This window comes from Homo sapiens, chromosome 10 (assembly GCF_000001405.40).
Source record: "Homo sapiens chromosome 10, GRCh38.p14 Primary Assembly".
Taxonomy (NCBI): domain Eukaryota; kingdom Metazoa; phylum Chordata; class Mammalia; order Primates; family Hominidae; genus Homo; species Homo sapiens.
In genome coordinates this window covers 102,884,400-102,896,156 of record NC_000010.11, presented here as the reverse complement: position 1 = coordinate 102,896,156, position 11,757 = coordinate 102,884,400, and the positions used below count along the sequence as shown (strand labels likewise).

At 43.4% G+C, this 11,757-nt stretch overlaps 1 protein-coding gene, 1 long non-coding RNA gene and 1 pseudogene across 2 annotated transcripts in view; 1 reads left to right on the top strand and 2 right to left on the bottom strand.

Annotated features, from left to right (window-relative positions):
- Positions 1–11,757, bottom strand: part of BORCS7-ASMT (BORCS7-ASMT readthrough (NMD candidate)) — a 47,690-nt gene that overhangs the window by 5,743 nt on the left and 30,190 nt on the right. The window contains exon 14 of the long non-coding RNA NR_037644.1: positions 5,479–5,613. This is a non-coding gene — a long non-coding RNA (BORCS7-ASMT readthrough (NMD candidate)). The remainder of the gene's footprint in view (positions 1–5,478; positions 5,614–11,757) is intronic.
- Positions 1–11,757, bottom strand: part of AS3MT (arsenite methyltransferase) — a 32,430-nt gene that overhangs the window by 5,743 nt on the left and 14,930 nt on the right. The window contains exon 10 of the mRNA NM_020682.4: positions 5,479–5,613. Within this exon, the coding sequence (NP_065733.2) occupies positions 5,479–5,613 (135 nt within the window). The remainder of the gene's footprint in view (positions 1–5,478; positions 5,614–11,757) is intronic.
- Positions 7,941–8,371, top strand: RPL22P17 (ribosomal protein L22 pseudogene 17; annotated as a pseudogene).

Below are 11,757 nucleotides of genomic sequence, written 5' to 3'. Positions count from 1 at the left end.
TTTCAGCATGTTGGCCAGGCTGGTCTTGACCTCCTGACCTCAAGTGGTCTGCCAGCCTCAGCCTCCCAAAGTGCTGGGATTGGCCGGGCACGGTGGCTCATGCCTGTAATCCCAGCACTTTGGGAGGCCAAGGCAGGTGGATTACCTGAGGTCAGGAGTTTGAGACCAGCTTGACCAACATGGTAAAACCCCGTCTCTACTAAAAATACAAAAATTAGCCGGCTGTGATGGTGCGCACCTGTAATCCCAGCTACTTGGGAAGCTGAGGCAGGAGAACCGCTTGAACCCAGGAGGCGGAGGTTGCGGTGAGCCAAGACCGCACCATTGCACTCTAGCCTGGGCAACAAGAGCGAAGCTCTGTCTCAAAAAAAAAAAAAAGCTGGTATTATTGGGGTTTTTTGTTTATTTGTTTTTGTTTTTTTGAGATGGAGTTGTGCTCTTGTTGCCCAGGCTGGGCAACCTAGGTGGGTGGATCACCTGGTGGCGTAAGCCACCACACCCGGCAAAGCTAGTATTATTGTAACAATGGTTTGTAACTCTACTTTTTGTTTTCCACATGATTTAAGAGACCAATGCATTTAAAATAATTATTAGTTTACGTTTTGGGGGCACAAAATGAATAAAGACATAATTTTGTGATATCAAGAACTAGAAAGACCCGGGCGTGGTAGTTCACACCTGTAATCCCAGCACTTTGGGAGGCCGAGGCTGGTGGATCATCTGATGTCAGGAGTTCGAGACCAGGCTGGCCAACATGATGAGACCCCGCCTCTACTAAAAATACAAAAAATTAGCCAGGCATGGTGGCTGGCGCACCTGTAATCCCAGCTACTTGTGAGGCTGGGGCAGGAGAATCACTTGAACCCAGGAGGCAGAGGCTGCAGTGAGCCAAGATCGTGCCACTGCACTCCAGCCTGGGTGATAGAGTGAAACTCTGTCAATGGAAAAAAAAAAAAAAGAACTAAAATAGTTGAGAACAAGCTTTAAAGGAGCAGAATTTTAGTATGTTATTGAAGTTAAGCTGTATAAATTCAAATTAGGGTGTCATAACTGTAGGATGTTAAACATTGTCAACAAAAAGGGTCAAACTCTAAAATACTTAAAAAGATTTATTCTGAGCCAAATAAGTGACCAATGGCCTGTGACACAGCCCTCAGGAGATCTGCAAACATGTGCCCAAAGTGGTCACCCTATAACTTGGTTTTATACATTTTAGAGAGACATAAGACATCAATCAATACATATAATATGTACATTGGTTCAGACCAGAAACGTGGGACAACTGGAAGTGGGGATTTCCAGGTCACAGGCAGATTCAAAGATTTTGTGATTGGCAATTGGTTGAGTTATAATCCAAAGACCTGGGATCAATAGAAGGGAGTGTCTAGGTTATGATAAGAGATTGTGGAGACCAAGGTTTTATCATGCAGATGAAGCCTCTAGGCAGCAGGCTACAGAGAGAATAGATTGTAAATGTTTCTTACCAGATTTAAAGAGTCTGTTCTATCAGTCTTAAGATCTGTTTTAATGGTAATGCTGGTCAGCAGTGTCTGAATTCCAAAAGGGAGGAGGGAATAATGAGGCATGTCCAAACTTCTCCTTCCCTTCGTGACCTGAACTAGTTTTTTAGGATAACTTTGCAATGCCTTTGCCCGACAGGAGGGGTCCGTTCAGATGGTTGAGGGTTTATAATTTTATTTTATTTTTTTATTTTTTTATTTTTTTTTATTTTTTGAGATGGAGTCTCGCTCTGTCGCCCAGGTTAGAGTGCAGTGGCATGATCTCGGCTCACTGCAACCTCCACCTCCCAGGTTCAAGGAATTCTCCTGCCTCAGCCTCCCAAGTAGCTGGGACTACAGGTGCCTGCCCCCACGCCTGGCTGATTTTTTATTTTTAGTAGAGACGGGGTTTCACTATGTTGGCCAGGCTGGTCTCGAACTCCTGACCTTGTGATCCACCCGCCTCGGCCTCCCAAAGTGCTGGGATTACAGGTGTGAGCCACCGCGCCCGGCCTAGAATTTTATTTTTGATTTACTTTCTCCGCATTCTGGCCTAGATTTGTCAGAGGCAACATCAATGGTCACCAAACTTTTATTTTATCTCACTGTGTTGCTGGGGTGGCACAGCTGCCTTCCCTGGGTCCATCTTGTGCCTTGGTGGGACCCCTATGGTCAAGGGGCTTAGAGCCAAAAGACACATAGCGAATTTGAAAGTTCTAGGCCAGACCAGGCATGGTGGTTCACCCCTGTAATCTCAGCACTTTGGGAGGCCGAGACAGGTTGGTCACCTAAGATCAGCAGTTTGAGACCAGCCTGACCAACATGGTGAAACCCTGTCTCTACTAAAAATACGAATTAGGGCTGGGCACAGTGGCTCATGCCTATAATCCCAGCACTTTGGGAGGCCAAGGTGGGTGGATCATGAGGTAAGGAGTTCGAGACCAGCCTGGCCAATATGATGAAACCCCATCTCTACTAAAAAAATAAAATAAAAATTAGCCAGGCATGGTGGCACGCACCTGTAGTCCCATCTACTCTGGAGGCTGAGGCAGAAGAATCGCTTGAACTTGGGAGGCAGAGGTTGCAGTGAGCCGAGGTCGCACCACTGCACTCCAGCCTGGGCAACAGAGCAAGACTCCATCTCGGAAAAAAAAAAAAAAAAGAAAAAAAAATTAGCCAGGCATGGTGGCACATGCCTGTAATTACAGCTACTCAGGAGGCTGAGGCAGGAGAATCACTTGAACCTGTGAGGCGGAGGTTGCAGTGAGATGAGATCACGCCACTGCACCCCAGCCTGGGTGACAGAGGAAGACTCCGTCCCCCTCCCCCACCAAAAAAAAGAAAGTTCTAGGCCAGATGGGAATGGATGTGGATAGGCATTAATAAACCCTTAAAATTTCTTAATATAAAAGCCAACAAACAAAAAGCCAAAGGTGAGGTTAAAAAATTGACTTATCTTTAACTTCTATGCATTGTGCTACTGTAATCTTGGTTTTAGTTACAGACTTACAGCAATTAGCTATACAAAACATAAGCACTGTTAAAACCTTTTAAGCTAAGGAATTTAGAGACTTCCGTTGTGCTACAGTTTTTTTTTTTGTGGTCTTTCAGTAATTTGTTCTAAAATTATTTATTTATTTATTTATTTATTTATTTATTTATTTATTTATTTTGAGACAGAGTCTCACTCTGTTGCCAGGCTGGAGTGCAGTGGCGCCATCTCAATCTCGTCTCATTGCAACCTCCGCCTCCCGGGCTCAAGCAATTCTCCTGCCTCAGCCTCCCAAGTAGCTGGGACTACAGGCGCACGCCACCATGCCCATCTAATTTATTTTTTGTATTTTAGTAGAGATGGGGTGTCACCATGTTGCCCAGGCTGGTCTTGAACTCCTGAGCTCAGGCAATCTGCCCACCTTGGCCTCCCAAAGTGCTAGGATTACAGGCTTGAGCCACTGTGCCTGGCCTGTTCTAAAATTTTAAAAAATATATATGTTATCTGCATAAATCTCATAACTCAGAGTATTAAACCTAGGAGGCTTTGACATGAGGTACCTTTATATCCTCTCAGTAATAATTTTCTTTTCATTCTACGAGAAGCAGGAAATTCTTTATGATTGGGATGGATGAAAAGGTGCCACACACATAATAACCCAGGAGGCAGAGTCCCTTATTTTACCAGCTGTTTATGCATCTGTGTGCCCATTTTTGATTTGGAGAGTCTGAAATAATTCTCTCAAAACTGGCCCTTACAGTCTCACACACCTACCTTTTGTGTGATAGGTCCCTGGGCCTAGAGAAGAGTGCTTATATAATTTTAGCAGCACGGAATTTGCAGTGAAAAGCAGATTAGGACCAGTGGGATTCCAAACGGGGGATTCTCTAACCTTAGAATATCATGATTCTGGTTTCTTTGGAAGTAAAACAAGGAGCTATAAATAACATTAATAATATGACAGTCAAAAGAGTATTCGTGTGTCAGAACAGAATAAGGAACCTATTCCACTTAGGGCACAAACTAAAAACATGAAGAAAAATTATAACCTGGTTTATCTTTAGAGGGTTATTGTAGCCAAGAAATAATTAATGATTCAATATGCACTCAAAAACAAAAGTCCAGGCTGGAAATCTAGTAACAAGTGTTATAGTTTTCCTTTGAAACCATTTCTCTCTCTAGCCTTCTTTCTTTTTTTTTTTTTTTTTTTTTTTTTTGAGACAGAGTCTCACTCTGTTGCCCAGGCTGGAGTGCAGTGGTGCAGTCTTGGCTCATTGCCCTCCACCTCCCTGGGCTCAAGCAATCCTCCCATCTCAGCCTCTTGAGTAACTGGAACTACCAGCATGCACCACCATACCCAGATAATTTTTTTGTATTTTTGGTAGAGACAGGGTTTCAACATGTTACCCAGGCTGGTGTCAAACTCCTGGCCTCAAGTGATCTGCCTGTCTCAGCCTCCCAAAGTGCTGGGATTATGAGTGTGAACTTCTGCACCCAGCTCCTCCTTTTATACTAAAGACAAATTATAGTAAGGCCAATTTATGTGCAAAATAAATTTTAGGCTTATTAAACTTTGCCTGATCATTTGCATGAAGTCCAGCAAGAGTTTGGCCAGATAGGCTCTTTTCAAGTTGGCTTTGCTGGAACTTTACCTACAAATGTTATTCCAGTCAAAGCTTTGGTAAAATAACCAAGTGTCTCCAATTGTCCTGTTTTGAGAGAAAAGACTCTTACTAAACTTATGCAAATAACTATTTTATTATAAAATCAGAATACTCACGAAAGGTCTCTGAATTTTGGAGAACTTGTTAAAGCAGGTATAATAGCTAGTCAGGCGTGAGCAGGGCAGGAGAGGGCTCCCCGCGCCGACTCCACCAGGAATGTCAGGCGATCATTAGGTGATGATCAGGTGGTTGTTAACTGTCTCTCGAAAATCATAATTAGTCACAGACAGTACCAGGGAAAGGAAGTCTCCCAATAAACAGAAACACCTGAAACTGGTGATCAGCAGCTTCCCGATAAGATCTCGGGAGTTGGGCAAGTGGGCTCAAGCATGCACATTAAGAGGCAAAATGGTGGCGTTTAACTGGTATATAACCGTCTAACAACATTTGACCAGCAAGAGAAGTGCGCCTCAAGAGACCATGCATACTGGCCGGGCACAGTGGCTCACGCCTGTAATCCCAGCACTTTGGGAGACTGAGGCAGGTGGGTTACCTGAGGTCAGGAGTTCAAGACCAGCCTGGCCAACATGGCGAAACCCCATCTCTACTAAAAAACACAAAAATTAGCCGGGCGTGGTGGTGGGTGCCTGTAATCTTAGCTAATCGGGAGGCTGAGGCAGGGAGAATTGCTTGAACCCAGGAGGCGGAGGTTGCAGTGAGCCAAGATCACACCACTGCACTCCAGTCTGGGTGACAGAGAGAGACTCCATCTCAAAAATAAATAAATAAAATAGTTCTCTCAGGTAGTGAAAGCCAAACTAACCTTTAACTCCAAAGCAGAACAGCCTCCAGATGTTGGCAACTTCTCTCCAATTGGTCTGATCAGAAAATCTTGAGCAAATCTTGAATTCTTCAAGATAGCTGCTGTTTCTTCATCCACTTCAACAATTTCACCTTCCTAAAGGGTAGTATAAAAAAAAATACTAAGAGTTGCAACTTTAGTCTCAATAGAAGAAAAAATGCCCAGAAGTATCGTTTTCTCCACATCCTCACCAGCACTAATCCTTACACACTGTTGGTGGGAATTTAAATTAGTACAGCCATTATGGGAAACAGTATGGAGATTCCTCAAAAAATTAAAAATAGAACTACTATATGACCCAGCAATCCCCCTACTTGGGTATATATCTAAAGAAAATGGGCCAGGCGCGGTGGCTCACACCTGTAATCCCAGCACTCTGGGAGGCCGAGGTGGGCCGATCACAAGGTCAGGAGATCGAGACCATCCTGGCTAACACAGTGAAACCCCATCTCTACTAAAAAAATACAAAAAATTAGCCGGACATAGTGGCAGGCGCCTGTTGTCCCAGCTACTTGGGAGGCTGAGGCAGGAGAATGGTGTGAACCCGGGAGGTGGAGCTTGCAGTGAGCCGAGATCGTGCCACTGCACTCCAGCACTCCAGCCTGGGCAACAGAGCGAGACTCCGTCTCAAAAAAAAAAAAAAAAGAAAAGAAAATGAAACTGGCTGTGTACGGTGGCTCACACCTATGTAATCCCAGCACTTTGGGAGGCTGAGGCAGGTGGATCATGAGGTCAGGAGTTCGAGACCAGCCTGGCCAATATGGTAAAACCCTGCCTCTACTAAAAATACAAAAAAATTAGCTGGGTATGGCGGCACATGCCCGTAATCCCAGCTACTCGGGAGGCTGAGGCAGAAGAATTGCTTGAACCCAGGAGGCGGAGGTTGTAGTGAGCTGAGATTGCGCCACTGCACTCCAGCCTGGGCGACAGAGCCAGATTCCATCTGAAAGGGGCGGGGGGGGTGGAGGGAGGAAGGGAAGGAAGGAAGGAAGAAAGGAAGGAAGGAAGGAAGGAAGGAAGGAAGGCAGGCAGACAGGCAGGGGAAGGGAAGGGAATGAAATGAAATCAGTATGTCAGGGAAATATCTGCACTCCTAATGTTGACTGCAGCATTAATCACAATAACCAAGATATGGAATCAACCTAAGCATCCAGCAATGGATGAATGGATGAGGAAAACGTGGCATATATACACAATGGAATACTATTCAGATTTTAAAACAGAAGGAAATCCTGTCATTTGCAGCAAGATGCATGGAACTGCAGGTCATGTTAAGAGAAATAAGGCAAACACAGAAAGACAAATATCATATGTTCTCACTGATATGTGGAAGCTAAAAAAAGTGGAACTCATTAAGATAGAGAGTATATTGATAGTTACCAAAGGCCAGAAAGGGTACAGAATGGGGGAGATAAAGAGAAGTTGATTAATGGTTATAAATATAGGGTTTGGCCGGGCACGGTGGCTCAAGCCTGTAATCCCAGCACTTTGGGAGGCCGAGGTGGGTGGATCACAAGGTCAGGAGATTGAGACCATCCTGGCTAACATGGTAAAACCCCGTCTCTACTAAAAATACAAAAAATTAGCCGGGCATGGTGGCAGGCACCTGTAGTCCCAGCTACTCGGGGCGCTGAGGCAGGAGAATGGCATGAACCCGGGAGGCGGAGCTTGCAGTGGGCCGAGATTGTGCCACTGCACTCTAGCCTGGGCGACAGAGCGAGACAGAGCGAGACTCCGTCTCAAAAAAAAAAAAAAAAATATATATATATATATATATATATATATATAGGGTTTGATGAAAGAAATAAGACCTAGTGTTTGATATATCAGTAAAGTGACTAGTTTACAATAATATATTGTATATTTCAAAATAGCTAGAAGAGAATAATTTGAATGTTTCCAACATAAAGAAAAGACAGGGCCAGGTGTGGTGGCTCATGCCTATAATCCCAGCACTTTGGTAGGCCAGGGCGAGTGGATCACCTGAGGTCAGGAGTTCGAGACCAGCCTGACCAACATGGTAAAACCCCGTCTCTACTAAAAATACAAAATTAGCTGAGCATGGTGGTGCATGCCTGTAATCCCAGCTACTCGGGAGGCTGAGGCAGGAGAATTGCTTGAACCCGGGAGGTGGAGGTTGCAGTGAGCCGAGATTGCGCCATTGCACTCCAGCCTGGGCAAAAAAAGCAAAACTCCATCTCACAGAAAAAAAAAGAAAAGAAAAGACAAATATTGAAGGTGATAGGTATCCCAATTACACTAATTTAATCTTTACAAATTATATGAATGTATTAAATTATCACATGAACGCCCCAAAATAGCTACATCAATTATGTATCAATTTAAAAAAATGTTAAGTCTTTATGTATCAATAATAACACTAAATGTAAATGGACTCAATTCTCCAATTAAGAGGCATAGTGCTGTGAAAAAGCTTGTGGCAAAGAGAGGCAAAAAAAGAAGCAGGTTATGATGTTCACTCTTGACTGTACCCACCTTGTAGAAAATGGAATCATAGATGCTGCCAATTTTGAGCAGTTTTTGCAAGAGAGGATTAAAGTGAATGGAAAAGCTGGGAATCTTGGTGGAGCATTATAACCATCGAAAGGAGCAACAGCAAGATCACTGTGACTTCTGAGGTACCTTTTTCCAAAAGGTATTTGAAATATCTCACCAAAAAATATTTGAAGAATAATCTATGTGATTTGTTGTGTGTAGTTGCTAACAGCAAAAAGAGTTATTATGAATGACGTTAATTCCAGATTAACCTGGAAAAAGAAGAGGAGGAAGGTGAAGATAAAAATTTATTTATCTGGAATATTTGGTATGAGTTCTTGAATAAAACTTGGGAACCCCCCCCAAAAAAAAGGAATAGAGTGGCTGAATGGATACAAAAATGGGACCAAATTATATGCTGCCTACAAGAAACCTACTTTACTTATAAAAATACTGGAAGTTAAGGGGTGGAAAAAAGACATTCCAAGCAACTGGAAACCAAAAAAGAACAGGAGTAGCTATACTTACATCAGATAAAACAGACTGTGAATCAAGGCTGTCAAAGAGGCAAAGAAGGTTACTATATAATGATAAAGGGGTCAATTCAGCAAGAAGATATAAGTATCTTTGCACTCAACATTGGAGCTCCAAAGTATATAAAGCAAACATTAATAGATCTAAAAGAAGAGATATACTGTAATGCAATAGTAGTAGGGGACTCTAACACCACACCTCACTCTCAGTAAAACAGATCATCCAGACAGAAAATAATAAAGAAACATTAAACTATATACTAGCTCAAATAGGCCTAGCTGACATTCACAGAGCATTTTACTCAACTGCTGCAGAATAGACATTCTGCTCAATAGCACATGGAACATTCTCCAGCATAGACTATATCTTAGGCCACAAAACAAGTCTTAACAAATTCAGAAAAGTAGACATCATAACAAGTATCTTTCTCACCACTATGGAATAAAATTAGAAATCAATAACAAGAACCTTGGAAAATACACAAACACATGGAAATTAAACAACATGCTCCTGAATAGCCAATGGGTCCATGAAGAAATTAGGAGAAAAATTTAAAATATCTTGAAACAGATGAAAATGGAAATACAACATGCAAAAATCTATGGGATACAGCAGAAGCAGCACTAAGAGGAAAGTTTATAGCAATAAATGCCTATATCAAAAAAGTAGAAAGATTTCAAGTAATGCCTATATCAAAAAAGTTGAAAGATTTCAAATAAGATCTCAGCACTTTGGGAGGCCAAGGCAGGTGGATTGCTTGAGCCCAGGAGTTCAAGAGCAGACTGGGCAACATGGTGAAAGCCTGTCTCTACAGAAAATACAAAAATCAGCCAGGCATGGTAGCCTTAGTCCCAGCTACTTGGGATGCTGGGGTAGGAGGATTGCCTGAGCCCAGGAGGTCAAAGCTGCTGTGAGCCATGATTGCACCACTGCACTCCAGTCCAGGTGACAGAGTGAGACCCTGAGAAAGAAAGAAGAAGAAAGGAAAGAAGGGCCGGGCACAATGGCTAACACCTGTAATCCCAGAACTTTGGGAGGCTGAGGCGGGCAGAGTCAGGAGTTCAAGACCAGCCTGGCCAATATGGTGAAACCCCGTCTCTACTAAAAATACAAAAAAATTAGCCAGGCGTGGTGGTGCATGCCTGTAATCCCAGCTACTTGGGAGGCTGAGACAGGAGAATTGCTTGAACCCGGGAGGTGGAGGTTGCAGTGAGCTGAGATCGCGCCACTGCACTCCAACCTGGGCAACAGAGCGAGATTCCCTCTCAAAAAAAAAAGAAAGAATGGAAGGAAGGAAGAAGGGAGGGAGGGAGGGAGGGAGGAAGGAAGGAATGAAGGAAAGAAGGAACAGACTTCAAATAAACAACCTAGTAATGCCCATGAGGGAACTATAAAAGCAAGAACAAATCAAACTCAAAATTAGTAGAAGGAAAGAAAGAACATCACAGCAGAAATAAATGAAATTGAGACTAAAAAAATACAGAAGATCAACAAAATGAAAAATTAGTTTTTTGAAAAAATAAAATAAATCTTTAGCTAAACTAAGAAAAAAAGAAGACTCAAACAGATGAACGGATAAAGAAAACGTAGTAGTATATGTACACACTGGAATACTATTCAGACTTGAAAAAGAAGGAAATCCTGGCCTGGTGCGGTGGCCCAAGCCTGTAATCCCAGCACTTTGGGAGGCCGAGGCAGGCGGATCACCTGAGGTCAGGAGTTCGAGACCAGCCTTGCCAACATGTGAAACCCCATCTCTACTAAAAATACAAAAATTAGTGGGCCGGGCGCGGTGGCTCACGCCTGTAATCCCAGCACTTTGGGAGGCCGAGGCGGGCGGATCACGAGGTCAGGAGATCGAGACCATCCCGGCTAAAACGGTGAAACCCCGTCTCTACTAAAAATACAAAAAATTAGCCGGGCGTAGTGGCGGGCGCCTGTAGTCCCAGCTACTTGGGAGGCTGAGGCAGGAGAATGGCGTGAACCCGGGAGGCGGAGCTTGCAGTGAGCCGAGATCCCGCCACTGCACTCCAGCCTGGGCGACAGAGCGAGACTCCGTCTCAAAAAAAAAAAAAAAAAAAAAAAAAAAAAAAAAAAAAAAAAAAAAAAAAAAATTAGTTGGGTGTGGTGGCACGCGCCTGTAGTCCCAGCTACTCAGGAGGCTGAGGCAGGAGAATTACTTGAACCTGGCAGCCGGAGGTTTCAGTGAGCCAAGATCACGCCACTGCACTCCAACCTGGGAGACAGAGTAAGACTCTGTCTCAAAAAAATAAAATAAAATAAAATAAAAGAAGGAAATCCTGTCACCTGCAGCAACATGCATGGAACTGCAGGTCATTATGTTAAGAGAAATAAGCCAACCTCAAAAAGACGAATATTACATGTTCTCGCTGATATGTGGGAGCTAAAAAAGTGGACCTCATGATAATAGAGAGTAGATTGGTGGTTACCAGACGCCAGGTAGAGTGGGGAGGATGAAGAGAGCTTGATTAATGAGTACAAAATCCAGTTTAATAAGAAGAAATAAGACCTAGTGTTCGATGGATCAGTAGGGTGACTATAGTTCACAATAATCTATTGTATATTTCAAAATAGCTAGAAAAGAATAATTCAAATGGGTTCCTAGAATAAAGAAAAGACAAATGTTTAAGGCGATGGATATACCAGTTACATTGACTTGATCTGTACAAATTATATGAATATATTAAATTATCAGATGTGCCCTGAAAGTATGTACATCTATTATGCATTAAAAAAATGTTTGGCCGGTCGCAGTGTCTCATGCCTGTAATCCCAGCAGTTTTGGAGGCCAATGCAGGCAGATCGTCTGAGGTCAGGAGTTAGAGACCAGCCTGGCCAACATAGTGAAACCCCGTCTCTACTAAAAATACAAAAATTAGCTGGGCACGGTGGCAGGCGCCTGTAATCCCTGCTACTCAGGAGGCTGAGACAGGAGAATGGCTTGAACCCAGGAGGCGGAGATTGCAGTGAGCCAAGATCACGCCACTGCACTCCAGCCTGGGCGACAAGAGTGAGATTCCATCTCAAAAACAAACAAAAAGTTGAACCCAAAAATGTCATATCTGCAGGCACTGAAAAACAAATACTGCATAACCTCGCTAGATTATATGTGGAATTTCAAAAAGTTGAACTCATAGAGGTGAAGAGTAGAGGCTCTTACCAGGGGCTGGGGGTAGGGGGTGGGAGGGC